The sequence below is a fragment of the Homo sapiens genome, chromosome 19 (genome assembly GCF_000001405.40).
Source record: "Homo sapiens chromosome 19, GRCh38.p14 Primary Assembly".
Lineage (NCBI taxonomy): Eukaryota > Metazoa > Chordata > Mammalia > Primates > Hominidae > Homo > Homo sapiens.
This window is the reverse complement of record NC_000019.10, coordinates 32,802,809-32,815,848: the sequence shown is the minus strand read 5'-3', so window position 1 is coordinate 32,815,848 and position 13,040 is coordinate 32,802,809. Positions and strand designations below refer to the sequence as shown.

Genomic DNA, 13,040 nt, shown 5'->3' with positions numbered 1-13,040 from the left:
CTAATTTTTGTATTTTTAGTAAAAACGGGGTTTCACCATGTTGGCCAGGATGGTCTTGATCTCCTGACCTCGTGAGCCGCCCACCTTGGCCTCCCAAAGTGCTGGGATTACAGGTGTGAGCCACCGCACCCAGCCAACTCTTCTACTTTCATAAAACATGTCCTTAACACTTGTGAGTTGTATTTCCAAAAAACAACTCTTCCAAAAAGGAGACAGAAATCCACTTACGGGGTCTGGCTTAGGCTTTCTTCACAAGCTGGTATCTTAGCATCTTCGCGTAATTTTTTCAGTTGTTCTATGTGTTCTGGATTATCAATGCCCATGCCCATGGACAAAATTTCAGCTCGAACATTATAATCAATGACAGAGGTTTTTAAACTGGAAAGGTTTGTAATGTGCACCTTGAATCAATGAAAAAATTGAACATTAGCAGTAATCACTCTGAATTTTAACTGAAGCATAGACATTCCCACAGGGCCTCTCTGGTTCATTCAGCCTGCCACGTTGGCTGCACTTCGGCGCTTGCCACAACGTGCAGGGCTTTCCATGGCAGCATCTGGATTGCTTCCTACCTGAGGTTCCATCCAAATCATCCAGGCCTCACCCCATGCCACAGAAATATGGGCAGGTGGTGGGGGGGTGGCAAGAGCAAATCTGGGATAAACCCCTAGTCAAGACCAAATTGCAAATCTGGGATAAACCCCTAGTCAGATGCATAATTCGTACATCTTTCTCATTCCTTCTCAACTACTTTTACCTCCTGAGGCTCAGCGTCTGCCTGATGGGAAGGACCTAAGCCAAGGACCTGAATCCTGTTCTGGGCCATTTCTTCTGTTCGTCTTTTCTGCAACCAAACATCCTCATCCATTTCCATTTATACAAAATTAAGTAAAACATAAAAATCTGCAACAGCCTGGCACTGTTGGTGGCAGTGTGGGTATAGGAGGGGCTGTCCCTCCCATGGTGAGGGTGGGGGGTGCTCCAGGCCTGCCCTGGCTGGGGCCCCTTCCTAGGTGAACCCCAGGAATGTGTGTCCACCGGGGAATGTGTGGAGGAGCCTCTCTCTGCTCAAAATGGGTGGGGGCAGGAACGGGTGGAGATGGTGAGGGTGGGTCTGTTTCCCTCTGGCCGCCGTGGTCACTGCCACACGTGCTGCAGTGTGGACACATCTGCCAGGTGGGCTTTCTTTTTTACTTCAATCTCTTTTAAATCTCTGCTTAATAAAATATCTGCTTTTCTCCCCCCAACAAGAAACAAACACAATACTATCACAACATCAACTAAGATGCCCAAATCTCCTCATTTACCTGCATTTGTAATCCATATTTTCTCTTCTGAAAACCATTTTCTGCTTAGTCTTAAACCTTACATCCAAACTCCCTTTTAACATGTTAAAACTTTTCCAACCTCATAAAAATAACATTCAGCAAAAGTTTTTATAAATTGACTCTGTTAAATCTGGTAAGTATTCATAGTAAGATTTAAGTCTAATACAGCAGAACTTTGAGTGGAGGAGTGGAGCTCTTGGGGAACAAGCAGGGAGGGTGGTGCCAGCAGCCGTGGAGAGACACGGAGGCCCGTGAGTCACATGTCCTTGTCATGTGTCCTCCCCTCCCCCTTTCCCCCGCCCCCTCCCACGGCTGCTCTGCAGGATGGGGGCTTCGTCTGCTTTGCTCACAGAAGGAACCCCAGTGCCCAGCACTGCTCCTGGCACGTGGCAGGTGCTCAGTTAAGTGCGTGGTGAATGAGAAAGTTAGAAACTGTCAGCATCAGAGAATGTAGCATGGAGTCCTCACAAAGCTTTGTTCGGCTGCATGTGTGTGCGTGCGTGTGCCTCGCATACACAATGCACGTGTGCGCTGGGGTTACAATGTAAAATATTCCCCTGAACAAAAACTAAACCCACAACCCAATTCATGACCCAATAACATGAAAAACACCTCTCCCTAACAAATCCCCAAATAAGTCACCGTTTCTATGCAGCAGTTATTCAAGTGAGGGCTTAGAATAATCTGGATAATTTTAGCCGCCCATTCAAACAAATTTATTTCTAAGAAAAAATGCGTACTTACCATTGGATCAATCCAAACTGTATTTCCCAAAGCCAGGATCACTTTTGCATCATGCAATTTTCCAACAATTTTATGATGAATGTACCTAGTAACCTGAAAAAAGCACTTAACATTATTTTAGGTGAGGCTTTAACAAAATACCTTATTTTGTATATGCCATACAGTTTGCAAAATATTCCATGCATTTCATTTGAGCCTCACAGTAATGCTATGAGATCACAGAGGTCATCACCCCCTCTCGTCCACAAGGCTAACAGCAGAGTTTAGTGAGGCAGGTGTGGAAAGGAACTCGCCCATGGCCTCGTACTAGTGAGTTCCCAGAGCTCAAGGCGGGGGTCTGTGCCTTTGGGACCCAACACTGTACATTTTCTTCTGTGGACGTGCGTACCCCATCTCCTCCATCACCTGCCAATCTGTCTTTAAAGCACGGATGCCTATTTCTTTGAAAGCTCAATGAAAGTGAAGTGAAAGTTGTTCCTCCTGCTCCAAGGCCGTCACTGCAATGGAGCTGCCTTGCAGCCAGTGACACTGGAGCTGAGGGCCTGGTCTTTGTGTACCCCTTGCTGAGTAAATGGCTGTTGTTTTCTTTCTTTTTTTCTTTGAGACAGGGTCTCTCTCCTCCACCCAGGCTGGAGTGCAGTGGCGCAATCATAGCTCACTGCAGCCTCGAACTCCAGGGTGCCAGCGATCCTCCTTACTCAGCCTCCCCAGTAGCTGAGACCACAGGCATGCACCACCACACTTGGTTAATTTTTAATTTTTTTTTTTTAGAGATGGGGGTCTCACAATATTGCCCAGGCTGGTCTTGAACTCCCAGGCTTAAGCAATCCTCCCATCTTGGGCTCCCAAAGCACTGGAATTATAGGTGTGAGCCACCATGCCTGGCCATGGCAGTTTCCTCTCAAGGAGGAACACAACAGGCAGGACCTGTCTAAGCAACCTCTCACACACATTTTCACATGAACAAAGCAGGGCGAAAGGGACCTGCCCGTTTCCATCCCCCTTGCACTTGGTGAATTAATTCAGAAGAATGTACACAGGAGAACCTTTCTCCATTCCCACAGAAGGCTGCTCCTTCAAGAAATACTTTTGGTCAGTCATCTTTACAGGTCAGATGTTTCTTGGGGAAAGAACTGTGACATTCTTGCTGACGGCTACATCCCCAGAACCCAGTAGGGCACCTGGTACACAGCAGACAGTCATTACAAAGAAGGAATGCCACTGCCTTGTGATAAAGGCTCCTTTTACTAAACTTAGAAGAGTAAGGTTGTGTATTTATCCTGTATCATGGAAACATTCACTTGTTTATTTCCTGGATAATGTTTAACTTTGTTTATAACCCAAACTGTTTGTACTTTACCAATTGCAATTAACTTATTTCATGTCCCATTTGTCGAATTATGCAAAATATAACCTTTCCTTGGAGAACTGGAGCGCTTATCAACACGACTCATGCTCCAGTGATGGGCAGGACTGGCTGCAGGTTTCTCCCTGGCCGCAAGGGCTGGGCCTTCCCACCCCACCTGGACAGTGCCTGAGACGCGGGCCCCCCTGTGCCTGTGCCCTCAGCACAGGTCTGCAAGGGCTGGGCCTTCCCACTCCAGCTGGATGGCCACGTGAGCCCGCATGGAGCCCTCTTCTGTGCCTGTGCCTGAGCACAAGTGGTTCTCTTTGCTTTCAACGCCCCATCTGTTCTATTTGGTGACACCCTAGTTACCCCACGAAGCCCAGAGGAAATGACCCTTCCTTTGGCAGCTTTTCTGATCTCCATCTCTCCTTCCTGGCCCATCGTCCCTGCACCAGTGGAATCACCTGGCCTCTCCTGGGACCGCCCATTGTGCCCCCTCTTTGGCTGGAGGGTCCACTTTTCCACTTTTTTTCTGTTTTTTGATTTGCTTTGTTTTTTAAGAGACAGAGTCTCACTCTGTCACCTGGGCTGGAATGCAGTGACACGATCATAGATCATTGCAGCCTCAACTTCCTGGGCTCAAGGGATCCTCATCCCTCGGCTTCCCAAAGTGTTGAGATTACAGGCCACAGCACCCAGCCTGGAATGTTCACTTTTGTAGGTGCTTCCCCTGCTTAGGCTGAGGGGCAGTTTATTTTACCAACATCCCTACTTTATACAGATTCTGTGACCGTAAGCACAAGGACAGTGGTGAAGACAGTGTTGCAGCTGCCTGGTACCTCTCCGAGGGTTCAGCTGGGACGTTCACACACCGTGGGGATCTAAGCAGACTGCACTTTCCCTGCCCAAACGTGACACTGTAAATCCAGACAGGCCTCAATTCTGTGTATATTCTCGGTTAAATATATTCTAAAAGTCAACAATAGATAAAAAGCCAAAATCACCCACCTTCGGATTCCATTCTATTTCGTTGTCAGCAGGTTTCACCCTACAGACAATAAACTCCACAGCCTGCGGGGGAAGTGTGTGGAAATGTTCTGGGAGATGCAGCAGCTGGTCCCTTGTGACGAGCCCCGTCCTGCCTTCATCGATGAACTCTACAAGGATGTCATCCAGGGCCCAGGCGTCTTCTTTTTGGTTCACTTCCAACACCTGAACCCTGGAGAGCAATGGGGCATCGGTTCAACGCAGAGATTCCAGAAAGGATCATCTTTGCCTCAAATTACCATGAAATGGAAAACATATAAAAAGACTCCAAAACGCCATGATTTTACTCTATACTAGAAATAAAAAACTAAGGCCTTCAAAAATTCAAGTGGTGGATTATTTAAAGTATACATAAGTATAAAAACATGTACTTTTGAATAAGAGTAAATCCTTTTATCTAACAACATAATAAAAATTAACATAGCAAATTAAAGTCTCAAAGTTTTTTTATTTTTTTCCTTTTGTCTTTTTTGTTTGTTTGTTTTTTGTAGAGACAAGGTCTTGCTCTGTGGCCCCGGCTGGAGTGCAGTGGCATGATCATAGCTCAATGCAGCCTCGACCTCCTGGGCTCAAGCAATCCATTCACCTCAGCCTCCCAAAGTGTTGGGATTACAGGCATGAGCAACGTCACCTGTCAAGTTTCAAAGTTTCTGAATTCAAGGCTATCACCAAGTGGTGCCAGGTGTGGATTCAAGGGAAGTGGGTACAAACGAGCATGTGATTCAGACTGACCAGGTTGGAACAAACTATGCCAGGTATCGAGCTGACCTGACACCACATTCGTAACATCGCCAAGGCTGTTTTCTTATCTGTAGAATGGGAATGATGCCCACTTGATAGGAACTTGGCAAGAATTAAGTGAGTTAAAGATGTATGTGTATGTCGCACGCAGTGATGGCTCAATGGGTCACGGTGTCACTGGGCTCAGGAGCCTGGGGAAGAGTTTCCCACAAAGAACTGGAGCAGGCATCTGGGGGGACACCCCGCTGTCACCAGGCTCACATACACACTCAGTCAAATGGACAGAGGTCAAAATCGGAACTCAACACCACTTAGTTACCTCATGCTTCAAAACTTTACAGATGAAGTAAACAGATGTGTTACCTGTGAAAAAGCGTTTTTTCTGCTAATCCATACAATCCAAACTTCTCCACCTTTTCCACAGTTGTTTTATTAGAATCCTTAAAATACTCATTCATTTCAGCATTGAGAGTTGCATAAAGATCCATGTGTTTATCAACTATACGGCCAAAGTAATTTGTTGCATTCAAAATATAAAAAGGTATTATCTGAAACATATATAGTAAACATGACCAAGAAACAAACTTAGTCTAAACCGGATATGTACACATTCCCTGTATCTGCAGAAATCAGTACCCAACCTAAGAAACCAAAGCTTAGCAACGTGGATTTAGAAAAAACTAGGAAGCTAGCCAAAAAAGCAAAGCAAAACCAATACCTCACACAGTCATAAAGAATTAGTTTCACTTTAAATCTAATGGAAGATTTTTTTATTTTGCAAATTTCATTATTTTAAAACTTCATTATTAGGTATAAGTGTTCCTTGTTTACCTTCTAACTGCACTTTTATAGAAATTCTTCTTAAAATAGCACTGCTGTCTCTTGAAACTTTCTGATCTTTTTTCAGGTAACAAGATGCATTTTATTAAGAGCTACTGTATATCAGCCTCCAGGGTTACAGGGATGAAACTGTCCTACAGGGACCTAGGCAATCCAGAAGTGGACAGAGAGGCCACAGCTTGTGTGTGCTGGAGAAGACAGCCCTTCACAGGTTAGAGTAGGCAGGGGGACCTGTGTGTGAGGAAAAAGTCAGTGTGCAGAGGGCAGAGACGCTCTGTGTGAAGGGAGGGAGCCCTGGCTGCCCAGAGCAGATGCCAGGAGTGAGAAGTAGGCACTTGGCAGGATAGGGGAGAGGACCGGGCTGGCGACACCCACAGGCACCAGTGTCTGTGCCTGTGCAGGAGGAAGCAGAGGGAAGCAATAGACCTGAGAACAGAGAGCTCTAGAAGAGGCAAGAGGCCCTCCCTGGAAACGGGCTCAGCCAGTGCAACAAGCGAGCCTGGAAGGCTTCACCTGCCTCCACAGTGGGTGAAGGCTGGAGCCCCTGTGAAATCTCCACACTGTCCCTCCAGGGACAGGAGGGATGAAGGAAGAGAAAACCAGGTAACAGTTCAGGAGGGGAACAGGGCCAGGGAATCTCAGAAATCTCAGACACTATGTCACCATATTCATTTTACACAGCACATAAAAAACAGAAATGGGAACTCTGTGAAATCAGAAAAGTTACCCTGACCCACACCTCCTCCAAAATGTCAAGAAAACAAATTCTATCTAAAAATGAGCAATAGCAAAGTAACAAGGTCAAATCCGATATGAAGTCATCATAAAATAACAAAATGTATAATAATATATAAAAATAAAATAATTAAAAAGAGAATAAAGAGCAGAAGAACCATCCCTACAGACAATGAAACCTGTTAGAAAGATACATCCACAAACAGATCAAAACTATAACCTTCAAGAAATGTTGCTTTCAGTTTGTTAACTAAGAAAACAATGAGTGTATAAAAGAGTAACAGATCAGAATTACAACAACTTAGAAATGAGGTGACAGAATGCAGGAAAGAGTTAGAAATTTTTTTAAAAATTCAATAATGAAAACCGTAGTGGGTTGGGTGGTGACTCTCCCAAAAGAGGTATGTCCATGTCCTAACCCCCAAGCTCACTGTGACTTTGACCTGACTTGAAAACAGGGTCTTTGCAGAGGTAGTGAAGTCTGCAGACTGGGAGATGGCTCTGGGTTATCTAGGTGGGCCCTCCCTCCAATGAAACGTCCTTTACAAGGGGCACAGAGAAGAGGAGGTCATGTGAAGATGCAGGTGGAGAGAGAGTGACAGTGGCTGCTGGCGGAGATGCAAGGACGCCAGGCGAGCCACAGGCCAGGTCACCTTCTGGAGGCTGTGGAGGGGCATGGCCCTGCTGACACCCTGACATCCAGGAACATGTCAGAAGAAATGTGTGTGGCTTTAAGTCACTAACTTGGTGGTAATCTTTTACAGCAGCCTAGGAAATTAACACAACAGATACTGCTCTAAGGGAAACAGATGAAAGGGAGAGAAATTGTATGCTCAAAAAGAAATGAATAAATTAATAAAAAAGGATTAGAAAGAAAATAAAAAAATTCTTAACTTGGCAATTCTATCTGCACCTTATTACAGAATTTTCCTCAAAGAAATTATCATGAATGTCTTGAAAAGATTCATGTAATCACTGTATCATTATTTTTTAAAAAATCTGTTTGTAGAGACAAGATCTCACTATGTTGCCCAGGCTGGTCTTGAACTCCTGGCCTCAAGTGATCTGCTCACCTCAGTCTCCCAAAATGATGAGATTACAGGTGTGAGCCACTGTGCCCAGTCACTGCATTATTTTTAATGGCCCCCAAATAGAAACATTTTCTGAAAATATAATTGAAAAAAAAATCCTTAAACTGTCATCCATTACTGAATTTGATCTTGGCTTATAAATACGCTGGGGCCCTGAAATAAGGCGCCTTGTAAGGACACGTGCCTCTGGTTGCACTAATGGTGGTATGTTAATACTGATCACTGGAAGGCACCATGACATCTACTAAGATCCTGCTTAACAAATAAAACACGTTTATTAACATGACCATTCGTCAGAGGACACAAGCATCTTTAACCAAACCTACTTTAATGTATCCAAATGAAGGTAGGGCTTGGCTGGACAGTTTCCTGGGCAAGTCCGTTTCTGGATTAATACGGTGTCGGTCAGGACAGATCCTTTTGTCTCTGAAAATGAAATGACTAGACTTATCATAAGTAAGTAATAATTGTTAATGTGAATTTTAACGCTTTCTTCAGAAAATTAATCTGCAACCTAAATCAGATAACTTTTATTCCAAACACCCTAAAGACTGAATAACCACATTAAATATTTCAGATGACATTAATAATATACAAATAAGTGAAAATGGATTTTACATTTTAATTAACACTGAATAAACTTAATGAGTTATTTCATTATTTCTCTAGCAAACTTTCTTTTTTTTTTTTTTTTTTTTTTTTTTTTTAAGAGTTTGGTCTCACTCTGTTGCCCAGCCTGGAGTGCAGTGGCAAGATCATGTCTCACCATAGCCTCTTAACTCCTGGGCTCAAGAGATCCTCCCTGCTCAGCCACCCTATTTCTCTAGACATTCTAAAATGCATTATGTAAATGAACAAAATGTATTTCCATAATAAAGACTGAATTAGAAATACATTGCCATAATACACAACAAAGGGCAATCGATCTCTAACCCAGAAGCCGTTCCTTAACTACAATGCTGCTTCCACGTTGAGAAATAGTTGAAATTGCCGTTTTAAAAGTCAGTATTTGAGGCCGAGCACAGTGGCTCGTGCCTGTAATCCCAGCACTTTGGGAGGCCAAGACAGGCAAATAACCTGAGGTCAGGAGCTCGAGACCAGCCTGGCCAACATGGTGAAACCCCGTCTCTACTAAAAATACAAAAATTAGCTGCGCATGGTGGCAGGTGCCTACTTATAGTCCCAGCTACTCAGGAGGCTGATGCAGGAGAATCGCTTGAACCCAGGACGCAGAGGTTGCAGTGAGCCAAGATGGTGCCACTGCACCCCAGCCTGGGCGACAGAGCAAGACTCCATCTCTAAATAAATAAATAAATAAATAAAGTCAGTATTTGGCTGGGGACGGTGGCTCATGCCTGTAATCCCAGCACTGTGGGAGGCTGAGGAGGGCGGATCACTTGAGGTGAGGGGTTTGAGACCAGCATGGCCAACATGGCGAACCCCATCTCTACTAAAAATACAAAAATTAGCCAGGTGTGGTGGTTCACGCCTGTGATCCCAGCTTCTCAGGAGGCTGAGGCACAAGAACTGCTTGAACACGGGAGGCGGAGGTTTCAGTGAGCTGAGATCACGCCATTGCACTCTAGCCTGGGTGACAGAGCCAGACAGAGACTGTCTTAAAAAAAAAAAAAAAAAAACTCGGTCTTCTTTAAGCGTAAATAGGAATACTGCTAGTAACACATTTAATGTACCATAATTCAAAAACGTTAATGTCAACAGTTATCTTTAAATTCAATCCAGCAGCTACGTATCAGGCACCCATGCCCCAGCCTCAGCTGTCTGTGTATCACGCAGTGGTGTTGCGTCTGGATCAGGCAGAGAAGCCCCATGACTGTCAAGGTACCCATGCTCTCCAAGCTGATCAACACAATCAATGCACTCCCTAGCAAAATTCTGCAAGGTTTCTGAAGACACTAACAGGCTCATTCTAAAATGTACGTGGAGGCCGGGTGCGGTGGCTCACGCCTGTAATCCCAGCACTTTGGGAGGCTGAGGCAGGTGGATCAGCTGAGGTCAGGAGTTCGAAATGAGCCTGGCCAACATGGTGAAACCCCGTCTCTACTAAAAATACAAAAATTAGCCAGGCATGGTGGCACACACCTATAGTCCCAGTTACTCAGGAAGCTGAGGCAGGAGAATTGTTTGAACCCAGAAGGAGGAGGTTGCAGTGAGCCGAGATCATGCCACTGCACTCCAGCCTGGGTGACAGAGCAAGACTCCATCTCAAAAAAAAAAAAAAAAAAAAGATAAAAAAAATAAAGTGTATGTGGAGATGCAATGGATTTAAAATAGCCAAACAACCTTGATGAGGACCAAAGCTGGAGGACTCATACACCAGCTCCTAAGACGTGCTATAACAAAGTGTAATACTGGTATAAAGTTAGACCAATAGGCCAAAGTAACAGAATAGAGTCCAAAAATGGACCACAAATACCATCACCTGGCTCATGGCAAACGCACTCATGCAGTGAGAACCGAATGATATTTTAAATAAACGATGCTGGAGCAAACCATTATCCATATGGAAAAATCAAACCTTGCCCCAGATCTCATATTACACACATATTTTTTTTTTCTTTTTTCTTTTTTTTGGACATAGGGTCTCATTCTATCACCCAGGCTGGAGTGCAGTGGCACAATCACGTCTCACTGAATCCTTGACTTCCCAGGCTCAAGCGATCCCCCTACCCAAGGCTCCTGAGTAGCTGGGACTACAGACATGTGCCACCACAGCTGGCTTATATATATATATATGTGTGTGTGTGTGTGTGTGTGTATATATATATTATATATGTTATATATATAATATATAACATATATAATACACATATATATATTTTAAAGAGACGGGGTCTCTGTGTGTTGCCCAGGCTGGTCTTGAACTCCTGAGCTCAAGTGATCCTCCCACTTCAGCCTCCCAAAGCGCTGGGATTATAGGTGTGAGCCACCATACCTGGTCATACATACAAACTAATTTAATATGAATTATAAGTGTAACTGTGAAAGCTAAAACTACAAAGCTTCTAGAAATATAGGAGAATGCCTTCATGACCTTGAAATAGACAACTTTTTTTTTTTTGAGATGGAATCTCGCTCTGTTGTCCAGGCTGGAATTCAGTGGCACAATCTCTCACTCTGTCACCCCGTCTGGAGTGCAGTGGCGCGAACTTGGCTTACTGCAACCTCCGCTTCCCAGGTTCAATTGATTCTCCTGCCTCAGCCTCCTATGTAACTGATTACAGGTGTGTGCCACCACACCCAGCTAATTTTTTTTTTTTTTTTTGAGACAGAATCTTGCTGTGTCTCCAGGCTGGAGTGCAGTGGCATGATCTCAGCTCACTGCAACCTCTGCCTCCAGGGTTCAAGTGATTCTCCTGCCTCAGCCTCCCAAGTAGCTGGGACTCCAGGCACGCACCACCACGCCCAGCTAATTTTTGTATTTTTTAGTAGAGACGGGGTTTCACCATGTTGGCCAGGATGGTCTCGATCTCTTGACCTTGTGATCTGCCTGCCTCGGCCTCCCGAAGTGCTGGGATTACAGGTGTGAGCCACTGCACCTGGCCAAGATAGGCAAATATTTCCTATAAGCACACAAAGTCATCAGGCTGGGCGCGGTGGCTCACGCCTGTAATCTCAGCACTTTGGGAGGCCGAGGCGGGCAGATCACGAGGTCAGGAGATCAAAACCATCCTGGCTAACATGGTGAAACCCCATATCTACTAAAAATACAAAAAATTAGCTGGGCATGGTGGCAGGTGCCTGTAGTCCCAGCTACTCGGGAGGCTGAGGCAAGAGAATGGCGTGAACCTGGGAGGTGGAGCTTGCAGTGAGCCGAGATGGCGCCACTGCACTCCAGCCTGGGCAACAGAGTGAAACTCCATCTCAAAAAACAAAAAAAACTTCATCAAAATTAAAAATGCCTGTTCATCATCAGCAGAGTATTAAAAGAGTGAAAATGCAAGCCACAGCTTGGAGGAGACATTCTCAGTGCACACATCACACAAAGTACTTATGTTGAGTATATATAAGCTACTCCCCCCGACAAACCAAGAAGAAAAAGATAAACACTCCCTGTAAAAACTGGTCAAAAGACCTCAACGGGCACTTCACAAAAAGAGGATGGCCAACTGTCCCACAAGCCTATGAAAAGATATTCAACATCATTAATCATTAGGGAAATGCATATTAACATCACAATGGTTTACCACTCCACCTCCACCAACACTAAGCGCTGGTGAGGGTTGGGGACAACTCAGGCTCTGTCAGACAGTACTGACCAGACCGGAAAATGGCCAGCCGCTTTGGAAGAGTTAAACGCATGCCTACCCCATGACCTGCCACTTGCCCTCTGGAGCGTCTACCCAAGAGAAATGCGTACACATTTCCACAAAAGACATGGCCAAGAGTGTTCCTAACAGCTTCAAACATCATAGCCTGATAGTGGAAACCACCCACAGGCCCATCAATAGGAGAATGGATACACACACTGTGATACAGCCATACAACAGAACACTGAGCTATAAAACAAACCATAGATACACACAACAACACAGACGAATGTCACAGACATGAGGCTGAGAGAAAGAAGCCAGACACGAAAGAGAACATACCACGATGCCATTTCTATGGAGTTCAAAATCATGCAAAGTTAATCAACACTGACAGCCCTGCAGAGGGGAGGGCACGTGGGGAAGAGTGCGAGGGAACCCCCAGACTGCTCCCTCAGAGTGGGTGGTGGCTTCTAGATACATGACAATTCACCACATTGCAACAGCTGTGCACCTTACTGCAGGTTATACATCAGTTTAATAAGAAACAAATTACTGGCTCACTTGCAAAAACCAAAAGCCTTCAGATATGGACAAAGAGGCCTTCCGGCTTTCTTATCTTCTTTGGCTTCCAGAACTCCTGCGGTGAACTCGTACAGCTCTGCGGGGACCTTGGCGTCCGCTCGCTCCAAGTAGCGCAGGACGCCCACCGCATGGCTCGCATCTTTCTCCGTCAGCAGCAAGACAGATTTGGCTTTCTTATCTCCCTGTTCTGCAGGAGAACCCTGAAAATTGGGGGTGAATAAAGGAAGTGGATCATCTATCCCAGTCTGACTGAGGAAACCTTGTGGACTCTGAGCTTATCATGACACAGAAGATGCCAGTGGAATATGGAAGA

At 45.0% G+C, this 13,040-nt stretch overlaps 1 protein-coding gene across 10 annotated transcripts in view, besides 4 other annotated features; it reads right to left on the bottom strand.

Annotated features, from left to right (window-relative positions):
- The window catches only part of TDRD12 (tudor domain containing 12), a 109,814-nt gene that overhangs the window by 13,732 nt on the left and 83,042 nt on the right, over nucleotides 1-13,040 (bottom strand). For 6 of the 10 annotated variants that reach the window (NM_001437947.1, XM_011527473.4, XM_011527475.3 and 3 more), the window contains 6 exons: nucleotides 12,707-12,927; nucleotides 8,201-8,315; nucleotides 5,572-5,756; nucleotides 4,429-4,639; nucleotides 2,073-2,165; nucleotides 229-401 (listed from right to left, as the gene is read on the bottom strand). In NM_001437947.1, the coding sequence (NP_001424876.1) occupies nucleotides 229-401; nucleotides 2,073-2,165; nucleotides 4,429-4,639; nucleotides 5,572-5,756; nucleotides 8,201-8,315; nucleotides 12,707-12,927 (998 nt within the window). The remainder of the gene's footprint in view (nucleotides 1-228; nucleotides 402-2,072; nucleotides 2,166-4,428; nucleotides 4,640-5,571; nucleotides 5,757-8,200; nucleotides 8,316-12,706; nucleotides 12,928-13,040) is intronic. The other 4 variants (NM_001366102.1, NM_001438799.1, NM_001438800.1 and 1 more) reach the window with 1 other exon arrangement.
- Nucleotides 3,091-3,590: an enhancer, noted in NCBI's record as "H3K4me1 hESC enhancer chr19:33303165-33303664 (GRCh37/hg19 assembly coordinates)". NCBI's record gives its function as "activates a minimal SCP1, AML or CMV promoter by ChIP-STARR-seq in naive H9 embryonic stem cells {active_cell/tissue: H9 hESC(naive)}" and the evidence as "EXISTENCE:reporter gene assay evidence [ECO:0000049][PMID:30033119]".
- Nucleotides 3,091-3,599: a biological region, named in NCBI's record as "H3K4me1 hESC enhancer GRCh37_chr19:33303165-33303664".
- Nucleotides 3,417-3,599: a silencer, noted in NCBI's record as "fragment chr19:33303156-33303338 (GRCh37/hg19 assembly coordinates)". NCBI's record gives its function as "represses an EF-1alpha promoter that drives an FKBP-Casp9 reporter gene in an ReSE screen in K562 erythroleukemia cells {active_cell/tissue: K562}" and the evidence as "EXISTENCE:reporter gene assay evidence [ECO:0000049][PMID:32094911]".
- Nucleotides 3,591-4,092: an enhancer, noted in NCBI's record as "H3K4me1 hESC enhancer chr19:33302663-33303164 (GRCh37/hg19 assembly coordinates)". NCBI's record gives its function as "activates a minimal SCP1, AML or CMV promoter by ChIP-STARR-seq in naive H9 embryonic stem cells {active_cell/tissue: H9 hESC(naive)}" and the evidence as "EXISTENCE:reporter gene assay evidence [ECO:0000049][PMID:30033119]".